This window comes from Homo sapiens, chromosome 2 (assembly GCF_000001405.40).
Source record: "Homo sapiens chromosome 2, GRCh38.p14 Primary Assembly".
Taxonomy (NCBI): Eukaryota; Metazoa; Chordata; class Mammalia; order Primates; family Hominidae; genus Homo; species Homo sapiens.
In genome coordinates, this window is record NC_000002.12 from 196,019,821 (window position 1) to 196,047,161 (window position 27,341).

Below are 27,341 nucleotides of genomic sequence, written 5' to 3' on the forward strand. Positions count from 1 at the left end.
CACATTTACAGTTAACCCTTGAATAACACAGGTTTGAACTGTGCACATCAACTTACATGTGGATTTTCTTCCACTTCTACCACCCACTCCCCGCACAGCAAGACCAATCTCCCTCTCCCTCCCCCTCCTCCTCCCCCTTCTTCTTTCCCTCCTCCTTCACCTCCTCTTCCTCCTGCTCCTCTATCACTACCACCACCATGTAAAGATTACAAGGATGAAGACCTTTACGATGATCCACTTCTACTTTATGAATAGTAAATATATTTTCTCTTTCTTATGATTTTGTTAATAAAATTTTCTTTTCTCTAGCTTATTGTAAGAATTCAGTATATAATACATATAACACATAAAATATGTTTTAATTGGCTGTTTATGTTATCAGTAAGGTTTCCAGTGAACAGTAGGGTATTAATAGTTAAGCTTTGTTATATATAAGTTAAGCTTATATATTTAACCACGTATAAAAATTATATGTGGTATAGGAGCTCAGTGGCCCTTACCCCCGTGTTAAAGATCAACTGTATTCTGTAACTCTTATGACTTTAATAATCATCTTTTATATATTGAAATGTGCCATCTTCATCTTTCAGAATATATTTAAACATTTACATTTTCTGTGTATATAGTAAGTTTAATTCAATTTTTCATATGTGGCTGTATCACCTTTGCAATTATGAAGGATGATTTTTGTCTTTCCCAGGAGAAAAGTTGTTCTCCCTAGAGGATATGGAAAATGGGTACATAACTTTTTTTGTGTGTGTGTGTGGAATGGGGAATAATTTGGGGCTTTTGTTTTTTTTTTTTTTTTGAGATGGAGTCTCACTCTGTTGCCCAGGCTGGAGTGCAGTGGCACGATCTCAGCTCACTGCAGCCTCCACCTCCTGGGTTCAAGCAATTCTCTTGCCTTAGCCTCTTGAGTAGCTGGGATTACAAGTGCACGCCACCATGCCCAGCTAACTTTTGTATTTTCAGTAGAGACAGGGTTTCACCACGTTGGCCAGAACTGGCCTCAAACACCTGACCTCAAGTGATCTGCTCTTCTCAGCCTCCCAAAGTGCTGGAATTACGGGCGTAAGCCACCGCACTTGGCCTTTGGGGCATTTTAAAATGATATAAAAGAAAATAAAACTGAAGTGGTTATTTAATCATATAAGTTCCATCCTTCAAACTATTTAAGAGATTTATTCCTAAATGTTATTATTAGAGAAAATATACAGCAAGGAGATTTTCCCATTATGTGTTCTATATTTCCATCCATGTAATAAATTGAAATACATTCTATAAATATATATATTCTGTAATGTTCCCAATGTTCCCAAAATCAAGCTTTTATGCCCCTACCATATCTGAAGTCTGTGCTAGTTGCTATGGGGATTAAAAAACCTATATCATATTCTTTCCACCAAGTACTTATGTTTTAACCAACTTAGTGTCCACCTGTCTATGTCTAGTCATCTACCTATCGATCCATCAACTCATAAATGTAACGTTAGGCTTAAATACATAAATAAACAAAGCACATAAGAACAATTAGTTGTATAGAGGCTTGCAATGGAGATATTGCAAGTTTGGTTCAAGACCACCCCCATAAGGCAAATATTGCAATTAAGCACGTCACACAAATTTTTGGTTTCCTAGTGCATATAAAACTTATGTTTATGCTATACTGTAGTCTATTAAGCAGGCAATGGCATTATATCTTTAAAATAAAATATAGGGCCAGGCACAGAGGCTCACACCTGTAATCCCAGCACTTTGGGAGGCCAAGGTGGGAGGATTTCTTGAGCCCAGGAGTTCGAGACCAGCCTGGGCAACATAGGGAGATTGCGTCTCTAAAAAAAAAAAAATTAAATTAGCTGGGCATAGTGATACGCACCTGTGGTCCCAACTCCTTGAGAAACTAATGTGGGAGGATCACTTGGGTCTGGGAGGTTAAGGCTGTACTGAACTGTGATCATGCCACTGCACTCCAACCTGGGAAACAAAGAAACCCTATCTCAAGAAAATTACAAATGAAAAAAGGAATCCAGGTGCAGTGGCTCACACCTGTAATCCCAGCACTGTGGGAGGCTGAGGCAGGTGGATCACTTGAGGTCAAGAGTTTGAGACAAGCCTGGCCAACATGGTTAAACCCTGTCTCTACTAAAAATACAAAAATTAGCCAGGCGTGGTGGTGCACACCTGTAATCCCACTTACTCAGAAGGCTGAGGCAGGAGAATCGCTTGAAACCCAGAGGCAGAGGTTGCAGTGAGCCAAGATCACACCACTGCACTCCAGCCTGGGCAAGAGAGTGAGACCCTGTCTCGGGAAAAAAAAATGTATACACCTTAATTTTAAAATACTTTGTTGCCACAAAATACTAACAATCATCTGGGCCTTTTGCGAGTCATAATCTTTTTGCTGGTGGAAGGTCTTAATGGCTTCTAACTAACCAAGCTGTGGCAATTTTTAAAAATAAGACAGCAATGACATCTGCCACATCCTCAATTGACTCTTCTTTTCATGAAAGATTTCTCTGCAGCATTCAATGCTATTCGATAGCACTGTACCCAACTAGAACTTCTTTCAAAATTGGAATCAATCCTCTTGAACTCTGATGCTGCCTTATCAACTAAGCTTATGTAATATTCTAAATCCTTTGTTGTCATTTCAGTGTTCACAGCATCTTCACCAGGAGTAGAATCCATCTTAAGAAACCACTGTTTTTGCTCATCCATAAGAAGCAACTCCTCATCTGTTCAAGTTTTATCATGAGATGGGAGAAATTCAGTCACATCTTCAGGCTCCACTTCTAATTCTTGTTCTCTGGCTTCCAACACATCTTTCCAACACATCTGCAGTGACTTCCTCCACTGAAGTCTTGAGCCACTCAAAGTCATCCGTAAGGGTTGAACTTCTTCCAAACTTCTGCTCATGTTGATATTTTTACCACCTTGTATGAATCACAAATTTTCTTAACGGCACCTACAACAGTGAATCTCTTCCAGAAAGTTTTCAATTCACTTTGCCAAGATCCCTCAGAGAAATCACTATAGTAGATATAGCCTTTCAAAAATTTGTTCTGTAATTTCAACTTTTATTTTAGATTCAGGGGGTTTAGGTGCAGGTATATTTGTTACATGGGTATATTGTGTGATGCTGAGGTTTGGGGAACAGTTGATCCCAACACCCAGGTGCCAGCACAGTCCCTGATATAGTTTGTATATCCCCTCCAAATCTCAGGTTGAAATGTAATCCCCAGTGCTGGAGGTGGGGCCTGTTGGGAGGTAACTGGATCATGGGGACAGGTTTCACATGAATGGTTTAGCATCATCCTCTTGGCACTATCCTCGCAATGGTAAGTTCTCATGAGATCTGGATGTTTAAAAGTGTGTGGCATCTTCCCTCTCACTCTTCATCCTGCTCTCTCCATGTGAGATGCCTGCTCCCATTTTGCCTTCTGCCATGATTGTAAGCTTCCCAAGGCCTCCCCAGATGTCAAGCAGGTGCCAGCAACATACTTCCTATAAAACCTGAGCAACTGTGAGCCAACTAAACCTCTTTTCTTTATAAATCACCCAGTCTCTGGTATTTCTTTAAGGCAACATAAGAACTGCTTAACACAGAACCCAATAGTTAATTTTTCAACCCTTGCTCCGTTATGGAGATTGCTTCTTTTCTTAAACCTCATGAAGCAACCTCTGCTACCTTCAAACATTTCTTCTGCAGCTTCCTTACCTTTCTCAGCCTTTACGGAACTGAAGAGAGTTAGGGCTTTGCTCTGGATTAGGCTCTGGCTTAAGGAAATGTCATGGCTGGTTTGATCTTCTTCCAGACCACTTCCTCCATATCAGCAATAAGGCTGTTTCACTTTCTTGTTGGTCATGTGTTCAATGGAATAGCACTTTTAATTTCCTTTGCATTCACAACCTGGCTAACTGGTACTAGAGGCCTAGCTGTGGCCTATCTTGGCTTTCAACATGTCTTCCTCACTAAGCTTAATTATTTCTAGCTTTTGATTTAAAGTGAGAAATGTGCAACTCAAGAGGCCACTGTAGGTTACTTGGCCTAATTTCAATACTGTTCTGTCTCAGGGAATTAGGGAGGCCTTAGGAAAGGAGGAGAAATGGGGGAGTGACTGGTTGGTGGAGGAGTCAGAACACACACAACATTTATTGACATCGTTTGCCATTTTACATGGGTGCAGTTTGTGGCTTTCCAAGATAATTATAATAGTAACATCAAAGATTACTGATCACAGCTCACCATAACAGATGTAATAATAACAGAAAAAGCTTAAAATATTGTGAGAATTACCAAAACTGACACAGAGACACAAAGTGAGCACACACTGTTAGAAAAATGATGCCAACAGACTTGCTTGACAAAGACCTTCAGTTGCAAAAAACCCTCACAAACCTCCTACTGGCAAACAACACAGTATCTGTGAAGCACAATAAAGCAAAGTGCAATAAGATGAGGCATGCCTGTATATGAAATACATACATACACACATATACATTTATATATAAATTATAAACATACATTTGAGAAAATATAATTGGTGATATAAACATATACAGAAATGGTCACATAATCAACATTCTTAGAGAAATCTGATCACTTACTCAGCACGATGGGCTGGAAGTTCATCTGTCTTCTTATCATCTCCTTTCTCTCGAGGATCTTTTAAAACAAAATCAACTAAAAGAAAATTTTAAAATTCTGATAAATAACCTTATATTAACTGTAGTACATTTCCAAGCAATTGCAAAGCTAGTTCTACTAAGATTAACTGTTTAAATTATATTAAAGTTGTTTAATAATGAGAAATTTGTGCATTTATGAGGAGAAGAAAATTTTTAAAACCTTACAAGAAAATGTATCATGTCTGTGTCTTTGAGGATATATGTTCCCTTTCTTAACACAATGTGTCCCTCCTCTTTCATTTGAAAGGAATAATTGCTCTTAATATTATATTTTCCTTTATAGCTATTCCATCAAAAATATTCTTGTTGAATTGAAGGTCAACAATACAGGATAGCAGTAGTTCTATTTCACCGAGAAAAGGTACATACACTTGGCCCTCTGTATCTGCAGGTTCTGCATCCATGGATTCAACCAACGATGAATCAAAAATATTCAGAAAAAATAATAAAAATAACAGACAACAATAAAAATGATACAAATAAAAATATACAGTGTAACAACGATTTACATAGCATGTACATTGTATGAGGTAGTATAAGAAATCTGGAGATGATTTAAAGTATACGGGAGGATGTACATAGGTTATATGCAAATACTATGCCATTTTATATCAGAGACTTAAGCATCTGCAGATTTTGGTATCTGTCAGGGAGGGGAGTGTCCTGGAACCAATCTCCTGTGGATACCAAGGAACAACAGTATTGCCTTGTTCTCTTTTAAGTTGCATAAGAGCATAAAACAGTCTTGTTATAAAATCAGAGAAGTCAGCTACCTCGCTTCTGTCTTCTATGGTCTTTAATTCACATTTAATTCTAATTCTTCTGCCCATATTTCAAGAAGCTCTAATATGCAAATCATATGTATTACCCCCTTCCCTACAATCTTTCAGAGACTCTCCTTTACCTTTAAGCGCTCTAAAAAGGCATATAAAGCCCTTCAGATTCTGTCCCCTTCCCCAGATGCACCCTATGCTTTGGCTTCAGAACTGCTTACAAGCCCAGAAGAGCCTCTCATGGGCGTCTGCTATCATTCACACCATTTCCTAGGCCAAGCATGTTCCCGACTAGACTGTTTTTCATCCTTCAAGACTTAGTTTAGGCTCCTCCAGAGTCCTTCCTAACAAGTTAGAGATGACCTCTTCTCCCTTACAGTGTATCTTCTGTTTCTTTCCTCTTTGGACTTATTACTTTGCTTTATATTTAGTTAATTGTCTATCTCCCTCATTACACTATGAACTCTGAGGGCAGGGATTAGGCTTTTTATTTTTATATCACCAGGATACTCCATAGAAGTCATAAATACAATGAATGTCCTCCACCAATAAGGGTCCCCACATTACTCCAAAGCATTATTATTTCTCCAATTTTGAACACAGCATCCGTCATACTAGGTTTACTATCATAACCAACTGGAGACGCTTTTTTTAAAGTACAGATTCCAAGGCCCTGACTCCAGGGATTTTAATTCAGGTGGGGCCAGAAGTCAGTATTTTTAAAACGGTTCTGGTAATCAGTCAGCCTTAGAATCTATTTGTCTGTACCATGGGTCAACAAATTATTTATGTAAAGGGTTAGACTGTAACTATTTTCGACTTTGTGGGCCACAAGGACTCTGTCACAACTGCTCAGTTTTGCTCTTGTAGCTCAAAAGCAGCCAGATTTGTAGATGACATGCAAATGAATTAGTGTGGCTATGTTCCAATAAAACTTTATGAAAACAGGCAGTGGCCAGATTTGCCTGTGAGCTATAGTTTGTCAACCTTTGGTCTACTGCAACAATTTTGTATTAATCACATTCTAATTTATGACATCGGTAATACTAATGTTCATTGTTAATGCTTACACTTTTAGGTAATTATTTAAATATGTATGTCTTGTCTCATGTCTACACCAAAAGATCCTGGAATGAAGAGACCATCTTAAAGGGAGAGACTATCTCCTAAATGCCTAATGCCTCGCATAAATTAGACACTCAATAAATATCTTGAGGGATTGAAATTAATGCTTTATAATTTTCTTCAGTGCTATCCTTTGTGGTGGGGATATATCCCTACAAATAGAAATAGAATTATTTTTTGTAATACTACATTAATGGAATTTGCCTAAGATCTTAAGTAATATAACAGCAATGTAAGAAATGGCATAATTATAATATTGTGACTAGTTTCAAGTATAGGTATTATTAATACAAAAATAATCTTTAATGAGACACATATTTGAATTAAAAATCAAAGCATAATACCAATTTACCTATGGATTTCCTTACACTAAGAAGATAATCCTCTCTCATTTCATCAGATAATGTAACTATGCTGTCAGTGAAGACTTTCAGATGTTGTGGAACTAAATCCAGTACGTGTTCTAGCCAAGAATCTTCCATTGGGGCTACATGGTCTGTATCAATTCCATGGTGAATATAATAGTAATATCTCTACAAAAAGAAGATAGGAAAAATGTAGATGTTTAACAAAAGAAGTATGTTTATCAAAAATAAAACTACCAAGCAAAATTCAAGTTTTAGGAGAACAAAGTATTTATAAAGCATAAAAAAGTATTTGGTACAATTCACATAGGTATTATTTGAGATCTCCTAAATGTTACAAATGTGTATTTTCATGAAAACTAAAACTCTTATCTCAGTTAATAACTATACTGTAAAACATCAAGTTATATTACCAAATATATGATGTACTTAACAGAGTCCATGCTGAATTAGTGTTTTGTTAATTTTTAAAAATGATTTGTTAGTTTTTCTCTTTTTATTATTATCAGAAGTAGATCTTAAAAGCTGTAAGCAAATCAGTATCTCTATATATTAATTCCAGAAATATTATACAATAGGATTTAGGACATTTCCAACTGGCCTATTAATATTCCATACTATAATTTTATAGCTGCTATTGTGTGTGTTCATAAAATATTCATTTTAAAACAAGTTATTATTTCTATAATAATGAACATTTAACTTCAATATACGTTCACAAATTTTTACATGTCACTTATTAGAAAAAATTTAAATGTCAAAATGCTTTTGAATTAGCAGTGTTGTCTTTGATATTTACATTTTAAAAAATTATTATGTATTTAAATACTTGAAGAATTACTATTCCTAAAGTACGTTAATATGCCTTGTAAAATATACATTATATAATTATTATAGGATAATTTCTCATAAAAAAATTAAGGCATGTAAAGCTATACATGACTGAAGCTGGCTTTAATATGGAGAGCAGGTAGATTTGAAATTTTTTTAAATTGTGGTCTTAGGTGGCAAGGGAGAGAATGATTTCTTCTACAAATCCCATGGTGCCTTTTTATAGAACTCTGTATTTATTCCTATGTCCACAGAGTTTCACAAAGGAGAAGCACAGAGTGGTCTCCAAAGTATAAAATTATCTTCAAGTGTTTCTTTCCTTTTCAATTATACAGACAAAACAAATGGCCAGTTACCAAGATGTCTTTCTCTATAGCAGAAGCGGTCGGTTTTGGAATTGTGCTTCCATCAGGGACAGCTGAGTCTAAGTCAGCATCTTGTTGCCTAAGAAAATGATAAACATACTATTCAAAAGTAGATAAGGGGCAGTTAGAACATAAAACAATGGATATAGGAACACCAGGACTATTTTCTATTAAATCATAAGGAAAAATGAATTGTTGAACATTTTACAAACAGCATACACATTTGTTTGGTGCTATATTCCTCTCCAAATACTTTATTCATAGAGAGACAATTATATTGGAAGTTACTTGCAAGACCTATTCAGAAATCACACCCTCCTTGATGGCCTTTACTTATTCTTCCTCATTACTCAAGAATCAAGCTCTCTCTTCTCTGAAATTATAAAGGAACACTCTTGCATTATTCCTAAAATATGTATGGTTATTTATAGATATGAGTTTTAAAAAGAACACTGATGGAAAGTACTTTAAACACAGTTTTGCAGAAGACACAGACACATTCTTCAAAAGGCCATTTCTCAGATTTCTATAGACATACAAGTTAGCAATCAGTGACATGGAAGCTTTTATGTGCCTATGTATTTATTATTGGGTATGTGTTCATATAATACAATAATGTTTGTAACTATAATTCAATTCAAAATATATGCCAAATATGAGCCACATTTTGTGACATGTTCTGGGGCTGCACTGGGCAGAAAGGCATAGTTCACATTTTCAGAAAAATAAGTTGTTGTGGGATAGCTTTAACCTCTTTATAATTGACTGTATCATTCTCTGGATCTCAACTTCATCTAAAATGGATACAGGTCAGTGATGTTGTATAATTAAGTACACCTTCCCACTAACTGCCCAGTGAGGGGAGACTCGAGGTTCATTGAGTATATCTGAGATACCATACCAAAGTGGGTATCCAGAATAGATCTTCTAACTTATTTATCTTTTGCAAATCCAGGAATGCAGTGTTTTGTGAATTTTACATATTCTTTTCAATTAAATGGACAAGATAAAAGAGTCAAGGCTTTGGGTAATGTCTCAGTTTAATTCAATAGATAGCTAGTGATCAATAAATGTTTGTTAAGTGAGGGAATGCAAGTATGAAAGTAGAAGAAATCCTCAAAGTATTTAGCACATGGAGAGAAAAGGGTTGATTATTCTAACTACAAATATAACCTCATTACATTGTTGACTACACAGAAGAGAACTCAGCAGTAACATATTTCAGGAATCAGGAAATCTGGGTTCAGAGTCTGCCACCATAAAGCATATGACCTCAGTAACTTTTGTTTGTTTGTTTGTTTGTTTGTTTTATGGCAGAAATGCTCATCCTACCTACCTTGCTGAATTCTAAGAATCAAACAAACCTCATTCTCTGTGTGAATAACGCCTGCCTAGAAAGATGCATCAGGGCAAGGGTGGGTGAGGAGGTAGAAGGTTGGGGGTTGTAGGAATGGCTGTAGAAGTTCTTCCAGTCAGAGTGAAGATCCTTTCAGCTCTAAAACTCCATGATTCTATCATTCTAGGGCCAGCAATTACTATTGCTCCTCACCGAGAGCAATAATAATGGCAGCTTTTTATTGATTACCTACTCAGGCCCTCAATAGTTTCACATATATTATTTATAATCCTCACACCTATTGTTAAAGAAGACAATGACATAATTATTCCCATTTCACAGATGAAGAAAGTGAATGTCAGAGAGGTTTAAATAACCTCCCCTTGGTCATACAGCTAATTAACTATGAAAGGAAGAATTTGCCCTTCCATATGTGCTTCCAAACAGCTGTGCTTATTCCGTTCAGAAATAAAACGATCAATAGAGGAGACATGTGGCCTGGGTACAGAGAAAATATGATGTACTTTATTTCTCAAAAATGAAAAGAACTATATTTATTTTTTTTTCTCTTTACAAAATCAGTAGAAGCTTTTGGTTCAAGATGGTGGCATGAGCATCCCTTTTTTAAATTGCCCTGAAAAAAAATGGTAGTGAAATAATTTTAACCCATTAATTATGAAGAAACTAGAAGAAAAGTCATCAGCTAAGGAGATATTTCACAAATTTCTGGAACCTGAAAAGAAGAGTATATTAGTCCGTTTTCACACTGTTGATAAAGACATACCTGAGACTGGGCAATTTAAAAAAGAAAGAGGTTTAATGGACTTACAGTTCCATGTGGTTAGGGAGGCCTCACAATCATGGCAGAAGGCGAAAGCCACTTCTTACATGATAGCAGAAAGACAGAGAAATGAGAGCCAAGGGAAAGGGGTTTCACCTTATCAAACCATCAGATCCCATGAGACTTACTCACTATCATAGGAATAATATGGGAGAAACCAACCCCATGATTCAATTATCTCCCACTGGGTCCCTCCCACAACATGTGGTAATTATGGGAGTACAATTCAAGATGCAGTTTAGGTGGAGGCACAGAGCCAAGCCATATCATTCTACCCCTGGCCCCTCCAAATCTCATGTCTTCACATTTCAAAACCAATCATACCTTCCCAACGGTCTCCTAAAGTCTTAACTCATTTCAGCATTAACCCAAAAGTCCACAGTCCAGAGTCTCATCTGAGACAAGGCAAGTCCCTACCGCCTATGAGCATGTAAAGTCAAAAGCAAGCTAGTTATTTCCTAGATATAATGGGGGTACAGGTATTGGGTAAATACAGCCATTCCAGATGGGAGAAATTGGCCAAGACAAAGTGGTTACAGAGCCCATTCAAGTCCGAAATCCAGCAGGGCAGTAAAATTTTAAAGCTCCAAAATGATCTCCTTTGACTCCAGGTCTCACATCCAGGTCATGCTGATGCAAGAGGTGGGTTCCCATGGTCTTGGGCATCTCTGCCCTGTGGCTTTTCAGGGTACAGCCTCACTCTTGGCTGCTTTCACAGACTGGTGTTGAGTGTCTGCGGCTTTTCCAGGCAAACGGTGCAAGCTGTCAGTGGATCTACCATGCTGGGGTCTGAAGGACAGTGGCCCTCTTCTCACAGCTCCACTAGGCGGTGCCCCAGTAGGGACTCTGAGTGGGGGCTCTGACCCCACATTTCCCTTCTGCACTGTTATATCAGAGGTTGTCCATGAGGGCCCTGCCCTTGCAGGAAACTTTTGCCTGGGCATCCAGGCATTTCCATACATCTTCTGAAATCTAGGTGAAGGTTCCCAAAGCCCAATTCTTGACTTCTGTGCACTTGCAAGCTCAACACCACATGGAAGCTGCCAAGGATTGAGGCTTGCACCCTCTTAAGCCATGGCCCAAGCTCCACGTTGGCCCCTTTCAGCCACAGCTGGAGCAGCTGGGACACAGGGTACCAAGTCCCTAGCCTGCACACAGCACGGGGACCCTGGGCCTGGCCCACAGAACCATTTTCTCCTGGGCTTCTGGGCCTGTGATGGGAGGGGCTGCCGTGAAGACCTCTGACATGCCCTGGAAATATTTTTCCCATTGTCTTGGGGATTAACATTTGGCTCCTTGATACTTATGCAAATTTCTGCAGCTGGCTTTAATTTCTCCTCTGAAAATAAGATTTTTTTTCCTATCGTATCGTCAGGCTGCAAATTTTTATGCACTGCATCTCTTATGAAACTGAATGCCTTTAACAGCACCCAAGTCACCTCTTGAATGCTTTGCTGCCTAGAAGTTTCTTCCACCAGATACCTTAAATCATCTCTCTCAAGTTCAAAGTTCCACAAATCCCTAGGGCAGGGGCAAAATGCCACCAGTCTCTTTGCTAAAACATAACAAGAGTCACTTTTGCTCCAGTTCCCAACAAGTTCCTCATCTCCATCTGAGACCACCTCAGCCTGGATCTTATTGTCCATATCACTATCAGGCTTTTGGTCAAAGCCATTCAACAAGTCTCTAGGAAGTTCCCAACTTTCCCACATTTTCCTATCTTTTTCTGAGCCTTCCAAACTGTTCCAACCTCTGCCTTTTACCCAGTTCCAAAGTTGCTTCCACATTTTCACATATCTTTTCAGCAACACCCCACTATACTGGTACCAATTTACCGTATTAGTCCATTTTCATGCTGCTGATAAAGACATACCCGAAACTGGGCAATTTACAAAAGAAATAGGTTTAATAGAACTTACAGTTCCACGTGGTTGGGGGGGTCTCACAATCATGGCAGAAGGCAAAAGGCACTTCTTACATGTGGTGGCGAGAGAGAAATGAGAACCAAGTAAAACGGGTTTCCCCTTATCAAACCATCAGCTCTCCTGAGACTTACTCATTACCATGAGAACAGTACGGGAGAAACCATCCCCATGATTCAATTATGTCCCACCAGGTCTCTCCCACAACATATGGGAATTATGGGAGTGCAATTCAAATGAGATTTGGGTGGGGACACAGAGCCAAACCATAAAAGAGAGGACAGACGAAACAGTTTAAAACACCACAGCCCAAAACTCATACAGGAAGGAAAACAATCTGCCTGGGAGACCACTAGAAAAGGCTCTGGTATCAGGGTTGGCAGATACCAAAGGAGAGAATGAGTAGGAAGGCTGAAAACCAGGAGGTTATCTGAACAGCTTTCTGCCAACAAATTACATAAAAAGAATACGTTCCCAAAAGGCAAAAAAGGATCAAATATGACCCAATCAACAACAGAAAATCTGAATAGATCTGTATCAAGTACACTAATTGAATTAGTAATTAGCTTGCCAACCAAGAAAAGTTCAAGTCCAGATGGCTTCACTAATGAATTTGATCAAACAAGGAGGAAATAATACCAATTCTACACAAATTCTTTCAGAAAATAGAAGAGGTAAAAACACTTCCCAACTCTTTTTATGAGGCCATTAGTGGCCTGATATCAAAGCCAGACAACAATATCACAAGAAAACTACAGGGCCATATCATTCATGAATATAAACTAAAAAATCCCGAACAAAATACTAGCAAATCAGATCCAGCAACATATTAAAAGGATTACACACAATGACTAAGTGAGAGGAATGCAAGGTTGCACTAATATATAAAAAGCAACTAATGTAATATATCACATTAATAGAATAAAGAACAAAAACCAAATGATCACCTCAACAGACACAGAAAAAGCATTTAACAAAAATCCAGGATTCATTCATGATAAAATCTCTCAACAAATTTGGAAAGGAAATGATAAAAGATATCTATTTCCTTTACATATTTTTTGAGCCCACGTTGTGTTATTTTTTCTTAATTATTTAATATGTAATTTAACTGTAAATTGATGATTTATAGTTGTATATGATTATAAGGTAAAAAGTGTTATGATTTATTAATACAATGTGGAATAATTAAAGCTAATTAACATATCCATCACCTCAAATACTTAACACTTTGTGTGGAGAATTTATGAAATTTACTCTCAAAGATTTTGAAATGCACAATACATTTACTAAATTTGCCATGCTGTGCAATATGTTTTAAAGAAAAAAACAAAACTTACCCCTGTCTAACTAAGTCTTTGTAGCCTTTAACCATCATCTCCCCATTCCCCCTGCCTCCCTCCAGCCTCTGGTAACAACCATTCTACTCTCTGTTTCTTTTAGTTCAAGTATTTTAGATTAAACATATGAGAACATGCATATTTGTCTCTCTGTACCTATCTTATTTCACTTAGCATAGTGTTCTTCGATTCCATCCAAGTTAAATGATAAAATTTCCCTTTTTTAAGGCTGAAGTGTATTCCATTGTGTATATATACCACATTTTTTTAATCCATTCATCTGCTGATGGACAGTCAGGTTGATTACATAACTCAGCTATTATAAACAGTGCTGAAATGAACATGGGCATGCAGATGTCTCTTGAACATACTAATTTCAAATCTTTTGGGTGAATACCCAAAAATGAGATTGCTAGATCATATGGTAATTCTATTATTAGTTTTTTGACAAATATTCATACAAATTTCCACAATGGCTGCACTAATTTACATTCTCATCAACACTGTACAAAGGTTCCTTTTCTCCACAAAGTGTCTTAAAAACCTACAACTAACATTTCACATTAATGTGAAAATCTGAATGCTTTCTCCCTTAGACTAAGAATTCCACTCTCACCAATTATTTTCAACAATATACCAAAGGACCTAATAAGTGCAAAAAGGATATAAAAAGAAAAAAGCATCCAAGTTGGAAATGAAGAAATAAAATTGTTTTTACTTGCATACACATGATCGTATGTATAGGAAATTCTAAGGAACTTTTAAAAGCTCTAAAATAAGTAAGTTTAGTAAGGTCTCAAAAACATAAGGTCAACAAGCAAAAATCAATTGATTTTTCTATATACTGGCAAAGAACAACCAGAAAATAAAATTAAATAATTTCATTCACAATAAAATTAATGGGATTACATTTTTAAAAAGAAGGGCAAGATTTCTACACAAAAATGTATATAAAGTGCTGAGAGCAACCGAAGATCTAAATAAGTGGAGAGAAATAACATGTTCATGGACTAGGCAACTCAATATTACTGAAATGACAATTCTCCAAAAATTCATTCACAGTCTCAACGCAATGCTTTCCAAGTCCCAGTAGGCATTTTTCCTTTGCAAAATCTGACAAGCTGATCTCTAAATATATGTAGAAATGCAAAAGACCTAAAACACCCAAAATAATTTTGAAAAAGAATAAATTTTGAGGGCTTAAACTATCTAATTTCAAAACTTACTATGAAGCTAAAGTAATCAAGACAAGTATGGTACTGGTGTAAAAATAAACACATAGATCAATGGAACAGAAATAGCCCCTCGTATATGGTGAAATTATTTTCCACAAGTATGCCAAGGTAATTCAAGGGATTAGGGGTTGAAACATTTGAACATTTATATGCCAAAAAATTGAACATCAAACCGTACCTTACACCATAGACAAAAATGAAGTTGAAATGTATCATGCATGTAAACGTAAGAGTTAAAATTATTTTTAAAAACCTAGGCCAGGCACAGTGGCTCATGCCTGTAATCCCAGCACTTTGGGAGGCCGAGGCAAGTGGATCACCCGAGGTCAGGAGTTTTGAGACCAGCCTGACCAACATGGTGAAACCTCATCTCTACTAAAAATACAAAAATTAGCTGGTTATGGTGGTGCACACCTGTAATCCCAGGTACTTGAGAGGCTGAGGTAGGAAAATCGCTTGAACCCAGGAGGCGGAGGTTGCAGTGAGCCAAGATCACGCCACTGCACTCCAGCCTGGGTGACAGACAAAGACTCCATCTCAAAAAAAAACCTATAAGACTTCCAGAAGAAAATACAGGAGGAAATCTTTGAGAATTTGTATTAGGAAAAGACTTATATGACTCCAAAAGTATGAACAACAAAAGGAAAATTGATAAATTATATTTTAACAAAATGTGAAACTTTTTATTTTCAAAAAATATTGATATAACCTGCAACCATTGTTGCATCACCTTCTAGTGTATGAAGTCTGATGGGTCTTTGCACCACCTCTAAGGCACTTTGGATTTGTTGGAGGAAGAAAACTAAATGAACAAAGGAGAAGAGAAGATGACAGAAGACTGTCATGTTTACTGCCAAACAGCTCTCAAGGATGATTGTATGAAGTAGCTGAAGAGAGGCGCCCAGTGCCTGTCTTCTCCATAAAGAAGGACCAAAACAGCAAGTACATAAACACACATCAAGTAGATCATCTAGGGGAGAACACTGGAATCCAGCAGAGAAAAAACAGGGACCCTCTGAGGCATGGAAAACTTAAGATGGCAATGTAGAGAGGAAAGTAGGGCAGTAGGCCAGTTCAGCCCAGAGCCAGGAGGAATGCTCCATTGCAGGAAAAATGTAAGTGAGGTATTGCCCAGCTGTTCACATTTCCACCCAAGAAACCTGCAGTCCTAGATACAGAAAAGCCTGTTGGCTCTCAGGATCCCTGAGCCTAGTATAGGGTGCTGCATGGAGCACCCACAACTGCATTGTTCCAGAGATGGAACTTGGGCTAAATCCCACTTCTGGAACCCAAGCTGCCATAGCACTGCACCATTTTGAGAGCAGAGCCAACACCACAGGATTATATCCTGTCCTTGGTACAACAGTACCTGCATCTCCACATTCTTTTTTTTTTTTTTTTTTTTCCAGGCAGAGTTTCACTCTTGTTGCCCAGGCTGGAGTGCAATGGCGTGATCTCAGCTCACTGAAACCTCTGCCTCCTGAGTTCAAGCGATTCCCCTGCCTCAGCCTCCCAAGTAGCTGGAACTACAGGTGCCCGCCACCATGCCCAGCTAATTTTTTTGTATTTTTAGTAGGGACAGGGTTTCGCCATGTTGGCCAGGCTGGTCTCGAACTCCTGACCTCAGGTGATCTGTCCACCTCAGCCTCTCAAAGTTCTGAGATTACAGGCATGAGCAACTGTGCCTGGCCTCCACATTCTTAAGGCCCCACTGACATCCCCCTACATCCACCCAGAGGGCTACAATAGCATGGCATTGGCTGAACCCAGTGGACTGCCACATCACCAGCACCCAAGTTCATGCAGTGTCCTACTACCCAAGGAATAGGCGATCCAGCATATCCAGGAGTCTTCCCCCAAGGTATTGGGAACCAAAGTGTGTACTCCCCAGAGCCTAAGAGCAGTCTACCTGGGGCCACTGCCACCAACAATGACCTTGCCCCCTCATCAGCAGGGACACTGTGTGTCCCACCTGGGGGTCCAGGGACCAGCCTGCCCACCCCACTGCAGATGCTGCCAGTGCCCACCTGCCCTACCCTGGACCTTTCCAGCTGGCCTGTGGCCGACACCAATAATCTGGGTGTGATCCATTCTAGCACTCAAGGACCAACCTGCCTTCACTATTGCTGGCATCTATGCAACCCATCTGGGCCCCAAAGAGCAGATCTCCTTGCCTACTAGTGCCCACATGCTCTGCCTAGAGACCTAAGGACTGGCATTCCCAGGGCTCAACACTGCCGGTGCCCATGCATGCCACCCAGGAAACCAAGGACCAGTCCACCCAGCCCACTGCCACCATTCCCAGCACCCACACACCCCTCCTGGGACCCAGATACTGCCCTCCATGAGTCATACCAAATCCCTGCCAGTGCCCCCATGTACCACCTAGGGACCTAAGGACTAGCCTACCTGGTATCCCTGTCCTTAGCAAAGCCTCATCACAGCCTCCACAAACACCCACAGCCTAGCCACTAAGTAATTTGCAGACACTACTGATATCAAATACAATCAAAGTAATCATACGAACATTACACTATGGTGTCCACCCAGAACCAAAGCCAAAGCACCCTACCCAGTTAACATACTGATACATTCACAAGAAAAAGTATTTTCCTATGGAAGCTGCTTCATAAAATTGGAAGAAGTGACAGTTATAACAGATGCACAGATATCAACATAAGGACAACAGAAACATGAAAAAAATCAAGGAAACACAACACCTGCAAAGGAACACAATAATTCTCTACCAACAAGCCCCAAAGAAAAGGAAATCTAAAAAACCCCTGAAAAGGAATTAAAAATAATGATCTCAAGAAAACTCAGCAAGATACAAGAGAACACATATAAACAATATAAGCAAATCAGAAAAACTCATAAGCTGAATTAGAAATTTAATGAAAGGATAGATGTCACAAAAAAGAACCAAACAGAAATCCTGAAACTGAAGAAATGAACAAAATAAAAAAATCAGGAGTTTCTGCAATGGACTAGATAAAGTAGAAGGAAGAATTTTTTAACTTGAAGACAGGTATTTTGAAATAACCCAGTGAGACAATAAAAATGAATCAAAAAGAAGAAAGCCTGAGGGGCATATGGGATACCATCAAGCAAACAAATATTGAAATTTGGCAAGTTCCAGAAGGAGAAAAGATGGGGAAAAGCATAGAAAATTAATTTAATGAGATAATAACTGAAAACTTCCCAAGTCTTAGAAGAGATATAAACATCTAGAAATACAAAACTCAGAAAGATCCCCAAATAGATTCAATCCAAAAAGTTCCTCTCTGTGGCACAACATATATAGTTAATCTGTCAAAAGTCAAAGACAAAGAATTCTAAAAACAGCACAAGAAAACTTGCTGTAAAATTTTCTTGTCAAGTGACATATAAGGGAATAGCCAACCGAAAAACAGCATACTTATCAGCAGAAACCTTAAAGACCAAGACAGAATAAGACTATATATTCAAAGTGCTAAAAGAAAAAAAAAACTGTCAATCAAGAATACTATACTTAGCAAAGCTATCCTTCAGAAGTGAGGAGAAATAAGGACTTTCCCTAACAAATAAAAACTGAGCAAATTCACCACCACTAAACAGGTCCTACAGGAAATGGTTAAGAGAGACCTACATCTGGAAGCAAAAGGATGATATCCACCATCATGAAAACACACTAAAGCATAAAATTCACTAGAAGAGCAGATACACAAATGAGAAAAAGGAGTCAAGCAATACTTTATAGAAGAACACCAAATCACAAAGGTAAGCAGTAAGAGGAGAACAAAGGCCATATAAAACAACCAGAAAACAATCATTAAAATGACAGGAGTAAGCCCTCACCTATTAATAACAACCTTTAATATATATAAACAGTTGAAATTCCCCTAATTAAAAGATACAGACTAGTTGAGTTGATTAAAAAAACAAAACCCAACTATATGCTGCTGACAAGAAACTCACTTCACCTGTAAAGGTACACCTACAGACTAAAAATGAAGATATTCCATGCAAATGGGAACCAAAAACAGGTTTAGAATTTGCATGGTATATCTTCACTTTTAGTCCATGTGTGCCTTTACAGATGAAGTAGTAACTATACTTCTATCAGACAAAATAGACTTTAAGTAAAAAAACATAAAAAGAGATAAAGGAGGTCATTATATAATGAAAAGGGATCAATTCACCAAGTAGATCTAATTATAAATATATACCCACTCAATACTGGAGCATTCAGATATATAAAGAAAATATTATTAAAGTTAAGGAGAGACATAGACCCCAATACAATAGAAAGGGACTTTAATTCCCCACTTTCAGCATTGGACAGATCATCTAGACAGTAAATCAACAAAGAAACACTGAACCTAAACTGCACTGTAGACCAAATGGACCTAATAGACATTTGCAAAATGTTCCTTTCAATAGCTACAAAATATGCATTCTTCTCATCAGTGCATGGAACATACTCCAGGTTAGACCACATGTTAGGCCACAAAACAAGTCTCAGCAAATGTAAAAAAAATCAAATCACACACAATGAAGTAAAACTAGAAACCAATAGCAAGAGCAACTTTGAAAACAGTACAAATACAGGGACATTAAATACCAAGCAACCACTGGATCAATGAAAACATTAAGATGGAAATAAAAAATTTCTTGAAACAAATAAAAATGAAAACATAGTATACTAAAACCTATGGAATACAGCAAAAGCAGTGCTAGAAGGGAAGTTTATAGTAAGAAACCCATAAAAAATAGATTTCAAATAAACAACATAAAAACATACCTTAAGGAAATAGAAAAGCAAGAACAAATCAAATCCAAAATTAGTAGAAGAAATAATAAAGACCAGAGTAGAACTAAATAAGAGACCAAAATCCAGGTGCAGTGGTTCACGCCTGTAATCCCAGCACTTTGGGAAGCCAAGGCAGCTGGATCACTTGAGGCCAGGAGTTAGAGACTAGCCTGGCCAACGTGGCAAAACCCTGTCTCTGCTAAAAATAGAAAAAATTAGCTGGGGGTGGAGGTGTGTTCCTGTTATCTCAGCTACTTAGGAGGTTGAGGCATGAGAAGCACTTGAACCCAGGAGGTGGAGGTTGGAGTGAGCCTAGGTTACATCACTGTACTCAACAGAGTGAGATTCTGCCTCAAAAAAAAAAAAAAAGACAAAAAAAAGATTTCAAAATTTAGTTTTTTAAAAAGATAAATAAAATTGACAAACCACTAACTAGACTAAGAAAAAATCATTAAAGACTATTATGATCAACAACTACACAACAATAAATTCAAAAACCCAGAAAAAATAGACACATCCCTAGACACATATAACCTACCAATATTGAACCAGGGAAGAAATAGACAAATAATGAGTAATGAGATTGAATCAGTAACAAAATTATTTGCACAGACAAATAATGAGTAATGAGATTGAAACAGTAATAAAAAGTCTCCCCAAAAAGAAAAGCCCAACACTGGATAACTTTACTGCTGAATTCTATGAAAATTTTAAAGTACTAACACCAATTTTTCTCAAACTATTCCAAAAACTTGAAGAGAAAGGAATTTTTCCTAACTCATTCTACAAGGTAAGCATTACCTTGATACCAAAACCAGATACAGATACAACAAAAGGAGAAAACTACAGGTCAATATTCCTGAGGAACATAGACACAAAAATCCTCACCAAAATACCAAAACCAAATCCAATAATACATCAAAAAGATAATATACCACAATCCACAATCAAGGGGGATATATTCTAGGAATGCAAGGATGGTTCAACATTCATAAATCAATATATGTGATACACCACATCAACCAAAGAAAGAGAAACCATACAATCATCTTAATAGATGTGGAAAAAGCATTTGATAAAATTCAACATGCCTTTGTGAAAAAACTCTCCACAACCTTGGTACAGAAGGAACATACCACAAAACAATAAAGGCCATATATGACAAATCTGCAGCTTTCATCATACTAAATGGGGATAAATTAAAATAGTTTTCTGTAAGATCTGGAACAAGAGAAGGTTGCCACTTTCACCACTTTTATTCAACATTGTACCAGAAGTCTTAGCCAGAGCAATTACACAAGATAAAGAAAGGGCATCCTAATTGGAAAGGTAGAAGTCAAATTGTTCTTGTTTGCAAATGACATGATCTTATATTTAGAAAGAAAAAAAAGGACTCCACCCAAAAATTGTTAGAACTGATAAATGATTTCAGCAAAGCTGCAAGATACAAAATCAACATACAAAACTCAGTAGCATTTCAATATACCAATAGCAAACATTCAGAAAAAGAAAGCAATCCAATTTATAACAGCTAAGAAACTAATTACCTAGGAAGAAATTTAATCAAAAAGTGAAAGATCTCTACAATGAAAAATAAAAAACACTGAAAAAAATAAATTGAAGAAAATCCCTTAAAAAATGCAAAGCAATCATGGATTGGAAAAATTATTATTGTTAAAATGTCCATACTGCCCAAAGCAATCTATACATTCAATACACTCCCTATCAAAATACAAATGACACTCTTCACAGACATAGAAAAAACAATCCTAAAATTTATATGGAACCACAAAAGACCCCAAATAGCCCTAATCCTTAACAACAACAACAACAAAAAGACCAAAAATGGAGGAATCACACTACCAGACTTCAAAATACAGTACAAAGCTATAGTAACCAAAACAGCATAATGCTGATATAAAAACAGACACTTAGACCTGTGGAAAAGAATAGAGAAAGCATAAATAAATCCATGCATTTATATTCAACTCATTTTTGACAAAGGTGCCAAAAACATAAATTGGGGAAAGGACAGCCTCTTCAATAAATGGTGCTGGGGAAACTGGGTATCCATATGAAGAATAAAACTAGACCCTATCTCTCACCATCTACAAAAATAAAATGAAAATGGATTAAAGACTTAAATCTAAGACCTGAAACTATGAAAGTACTAGAAGAAAACATTGGAAAAATGCTTCAGGAGATTGGTCTGGGCAAAGATTTTTTGGGGTAAGACCTCGAAAGCATAAGCAACAAAAGAAAAACAAGATTATATCAAGCTAAAAATATTTGCATAGCAAAAGAAACAATCAACAGAATGAAGAGAAAACCCACAGAATGGGAGAAAATATTTGCAAACTATCCATAGACAAGGGATAAGGGATTAATAACCAGAATATATAAGGAACTCAAACAACTCAACAACAAATAATAATAATAATAATAATTTGATTAAAAATGGGCAAATGATCCAAATAGATATTTCTCCAAAGAAGATGTACATATGGCCAACAGATGTGTGAAAACTTGCTCAACATCTCTAATCACCAGGGAAATGCAAAGCAAAACCACAATGAGATATTATTTTACCCCAGTTAAAATGGCTATTATCAAAAAGACAAAAAATAACAGATGTGGGCAAGGATGTAGAGAAAGAGAATTCACACACACATTGTTGGTGGGAATGTAAATTAGTACAGCCAATATAGGAAACAGTATGGAAGTTCCTTTAAAAACTAAACATAGAATTATTAGATTGTTGCAAAAGTAATTACAGAATACTATATGATCCAGAAATCCTATTGCTGTGTATATATTCGAAATAAAGAAAATAAGTATATCAAAGAGTTATCTGCACAAAGAAATAATAAATATTTGAGGGGACAGATATCCCAATTACCCCGATTTGATTGTAGACATATATTGAAATATTACATGTATCCCATAAATATATAAAATTATTATGTACCAATAGTGTGAAAAGATAAGGCACAAACTGGGAGATAATATTTGCAAAAGATATCTGAAATGGACTTGTAAAGGAAATACATAAAGAACTCTTCCAATGCATACAGCAGCAGCAAACTACGCAATAAAAAAAGGGCCAAATATTTAAATAGGCACCTCATCAAAGAAGATACATGAATGTCAAACAAGCACAAAAAATGATACCCAATATTAGTCATTAGGGAAATCAACTTAAAGTCATAATAAGATAAAACACATCTACTAGAATGGCTACAGTGTCAAAACAAAATAAAAACAAAATGTGGGTAAGGTGGAGAAACTAGAAACTTCTTCATTTGTTGTTTGTAGGAATAGAAAATGTACAGCAGCTTGGAAAACAATTTAGCATGTCTTAAAAAGTTGAACATATACCTACTATACAACTCTTCATTCTACACTCAGCTATCTGCCCAGCAAAAATGAAAATGTATGTTCACAAGAAGACGTGCATGCAAATGTTCACATCAGCATCATTCATAATAGTCAAAACCCAAACACAATAAATGCCATGAATAAACCTCAGAAATAAATATATGATTGCAGTTATATGAAATTTTAGAAAAGGTAAAAGTATAGAGATAGAAAGAAGACTAGCGATTACCTGGGGCAACCAGTGGGCAAGAGGATTAATTGAAACGGGCAAGTGGAAGCTTTTGTGAATGACAAAAGTATTCTAAAACTGGATTTTGGTGAAGGTTGTGCAACTACAAAAATTTGCTAAAACTCACTACGTTTTACATTTAACATAGATCAATTTAGAGGCATGTGAATTATCTCTCAAAGCTTTTTTTAAAAAAAGGGAAAAAAAAGCCTATCTGTGAGGCTTTGAAAATAAAATGTTCCCCCCAAAAAAGGTTAGAGAGAACCAAGACAGATTACCAACAAAATAATGACAAATAAAGTCACATAGGGTTCTCGTCAACAATGCATGCCAAAACATAATGGTTATCTCTCGCCTTATACAAAAATCAACCCAAGATGGATCAAAGACTTAAATCTAAGATCTGAAACCATAAAAATTCTAGAAGATTACATCAGAAAAACTTCTGGATATTAGCTTAGGCAAAGAGTTCATGACCAAGAATCCAAAAGTACATGCAACAGAAACAAAGATAAATAGATGGGACCTAATTAAACTAAAAAGCTCCTGCACAGCAAAAGAAGTAATCAGCAGAGAAAACAGACAACCCAGAGTGGGAGAATAAATTCGCAAACTATGCATCTGACAGAGGACTAATACCCAGAATCTATAAGGAACTCAAAAAATCAGGAAGAAAAAAAATCCCATCAAAAGTGGGCTAAGGACATGAATAGACAATTTTCAAAAGAAGATATGCAAATGGCCAGAAAGCATATGAAAAAATACTCAACATCCCTAATTATTGGGGAAATGCAAATCGAAACCACAATGCAATACCACTTTACTCCTGCAAGAATGGCCATAATTTAAAAATCAAAAAATAATAGATGTTGGCGTGGATGTGTTGAAAAGGGAACACTTTTACACTGCTAGTGGGAATGTAAACTACTACGACTACTATAGAAAACAGTATGGAGATTCCTTAAAGAACTAAAGATAGAACTATCATTCGATGAAGCAATCCCATTACTCAGTATCTACCCAGAGGAAAATAAGTCATTATATAAAAAAGACACTTGCACACACGTTTATAGCAGCAAAATTCACAATTGTAAAAATATGGAACCAGCCTAAATGCTCATCAATCAATGAGTGGATAAAAAAATGTTTATATATATATATATGTGTGTGTGTGTGTGTGTGTGTATACATACACACACACATACACCATGGAATACTACTAAAAAGGAATAAAATAACAGCATTTGCAGCAACGTGGATGGAGTTGGTGACCATTATTCTAAGTGAAGTAACTCAGGAATGGAAATCCAAACATCGAATGTTCTCACTCATATGTGGGACCTAAGCTATGAGGACACAAAGGCATAAGAATGATATCATGGACTCTGGAGACTCAAGGGGGAAAGGGTGCAGGGGGGTGAGGGATAAAAGACTACACATTGGGTACAGTGTACACTGTTTAGATGATGAGTGCACCAAAATCTCAGAAATCACCACTAACGAATTTACCCATGTAACCAAACACCACCTGTTTCCCCAAAAACTACTGAAATAATAATTTTAAAAAGGTAATCATTAATATTTTTCAATCTATAATTTCCCAGATGTACAGGGGAAAACTGCTATTATTCTTTAATTCTACAGCCAACTTAACCATTAATTCAAGAAAAAGGATGAAATTGAGACCTTTATAGACATGAATATCTGGAATTTACTACTCTTTATTCTCATTGAAAGAACTACTGGTCAGACACAGTGGCTCACACCTATAATCCCAGCACTCTGAGAGGTTGAGGTAGGGGACCACTTGAGCCCAGGAGTTTGACACCAGCCTGGGCAACATGGTGCAACCCCATCTCTACAAAAAATAATAATAATACAAAAAATTAGTCAGGTGTTGTGGCACGTGCCTTAGTCAGGAGGCTGAGGTGGGAGAAACATCTGAGCCCAGGGTGTCTAAGTCTGGAGTGAGGCATGATCATGCCACTGCACTCCAGCCTGGGCAAGAGGATGAGATTCTGTCTCAAAAAAGAGAGGGAGAGAAGAAAAGAAGGAGAAGGTGAAGGAGGAGGAGGAGGAGGAAGAGGAGATGGAGGAGGAGGAGAAGGAGGAGGAGAAGAAGGAGGAGGAGGAGGAAGAGAAGAGGAGAAGGAGGAGGAAAAGGAGGAGGAGGAGGAGAAGGAGAAGAAGAAAGAGAGGGAGGGAAGAAAAAGAAGAAGGGAAGGGAATGAAAGGGAAGGAGGGAGGAGAAAGAAAAGAAAAAAGAAAAAAAAGAGGAAAGAATAAAAGAGGGAGGAAGGGAGGGAGGGAAGGAAGGAAGAAAGGAGACAGAGAGAGACAAAGAAAGAAAGGCAGAAAGAAAGAGCAAACTACTAAGAGACAAACTTCAGCAAAAAAGAAAATGAACCCAGAAATGAGGAGTGGAATGCAAAAGCAACTTTCTAAAAATTTTGAAAACATGTTAGTAAATCTAAGTGTTAACTTAAAAAAAATACAGAGAGAGAGAGAGAATATGGGTACTTAAGGACTTGGTGGAACTGAAATATTAAACAATAATCACATAGAAAATACAAAGGAAAGCTCAGAGCTAAATTAAATCATGTTAAGGTCTTTGTGTGTTATTCAGAAGGAAGATAGAAAAAAATGAATTTTCAACCTTAAGAAATATAAATTAAATATGTAGTTTTAAATGTTAGGGTAACCATTAAAAGAACAGAAATATATTTCATAGCTTCTAAACCAATAAAAATAAAGGAAGAATAGAGAAAATTCAACAGAAAGCAGAAAAAGAGAAAAAAATAAGCAAAAGCAACATATGATAAATAGGAAACATAAAATACATTGGTAGAAGTCCACATATATGAGAAATACCAATAAATACAAACGGGATTAAACAAGCTATTAAAGCACAGAACTCTAAGATTGAATTTCAGTAAGTCCATCTATATCCTGTTTATAAAAGGCAAAACAGAAAAAATGACAAAAGATGGTTAAAATAGACTTCTGTTTCTTACAACACAGAAACAAAAAAAAAACCTCCCAGTACAATTGTATAAATACTGGATAGTATATCACAAAGCTCCTTTTAAATGTATAGCTGAGCTTACAAGAAAGAAACAGAAAAATCAGGAGGAAAATAAATTAAGTAGACAGGCATGGCCATCCTAAGGCTACGGCTGCCCTTATGGGGGCAGGGCCTTGGATTTTCATGCCCATATGGGGAAGAAGATGATGCCATAGGCCTGAGTGAAATGGGGAATTCCAACTGAAATCCTGTATAAAGCTGAAACAAGATCTGCCCTACCCTCAAATAAGGGAAGACTAAAAATAACAGGCACAGGAAGTTGTGTCAAGAAAGCTTATCTTTCTTGGGCAGGGCTCCAGGTAGAAAAAAAAAAATTCTTCTAAAAATTTGTAACCAGAGGTCTACCCTCCATTGATTTGGGTGTTGATCATACTGCTTGTTTGATCTGAGAGTGCTTAAGTCAAGAAAACAATATAAGTGGGGAAAGCTGGTAGCATCCTAGTGGCACCTGGCAAAAGCAAACTCGAAACCACTCTAGAAGAAGCACATACGCTCAACCCAGCTGCATGGGACTCCGATACACTCCTTTTTAGCCTTGTAAGCACTCAGTACCCACTGTCCTCCCTTCAAGATGACCATCTAGCCAGTAAAGTCCCACATGGGACAGTAGAACAGGGTCCTGTGAGTGAGTTACTTACCACAATGGGTCATGAAACCCCACTCGTCCCACAAATGGTGTACACCCTGAGAATCATAACGAAACTAAAGAGAATACTAAGCAACTAGCACAAAGCGGTGTGGAAACAAGGCAAAGAAGAGCTGGTGACTTGCATCTGCCTTGCTCTTTATGAACTGTCCTGAAACAGTGAGACCCAGGTAAGACCAGGCCCTGCACACACTGCTGACCATTTCACCCCAATTCCTTTTCTATACAAGGAGAATCACAATGCCGGAAAAGTCACCCCCATCACCTGAGCAGATGAGATTGGGGAAAAAAAACCTGCTAGAATCCTCCACTGGCTACCATGGCTATAATAAGAACTCCCAGAAATTCAGCCAACATTAAGTATTAACATTGCTACCTTTACAACTCAT

The 27,341-nt window shown here is 37.3% G+C and overlaps 1 protein-coding gene across 11 annotated transcripts in view; it reads right to left on the bottom strand.

The window, feature by feature from the left end:
* DNAH7 (dynein axonemal heavy chain 7) overlaps positions 1-27,341 on the bottom strand; it is a 331,135-nt gene that overhangs the window by 282,118 nt on the left and 21,676 nt on the right. For all 11 annotated transcript variants that reach the window (XR_922968.4, XM_011511488.4, XM_017004504.3 and 8 more), the window contains 3 exons: positions 8,140-8,227; positions 6,940-7,120; positions 4,609-4,684 (listed from right to left, as the gene is read on the bottom strand). Coding sequence is in view for 10 of the 11 variants with exons in the window: in XM_011511488.4 (XP_011509790.1) it covers positions 4,609-4,684; positions 6,940-7,120; positions 8,140-8,227 (345 nt within the window). In the remaining variant the exon portion in view is untranslated. The remainder of the gene's footprint in view (positions 1-4,608; positions 4,685-6,939; positions 7,121-8,139; positions 8,228-27,341) is intronic.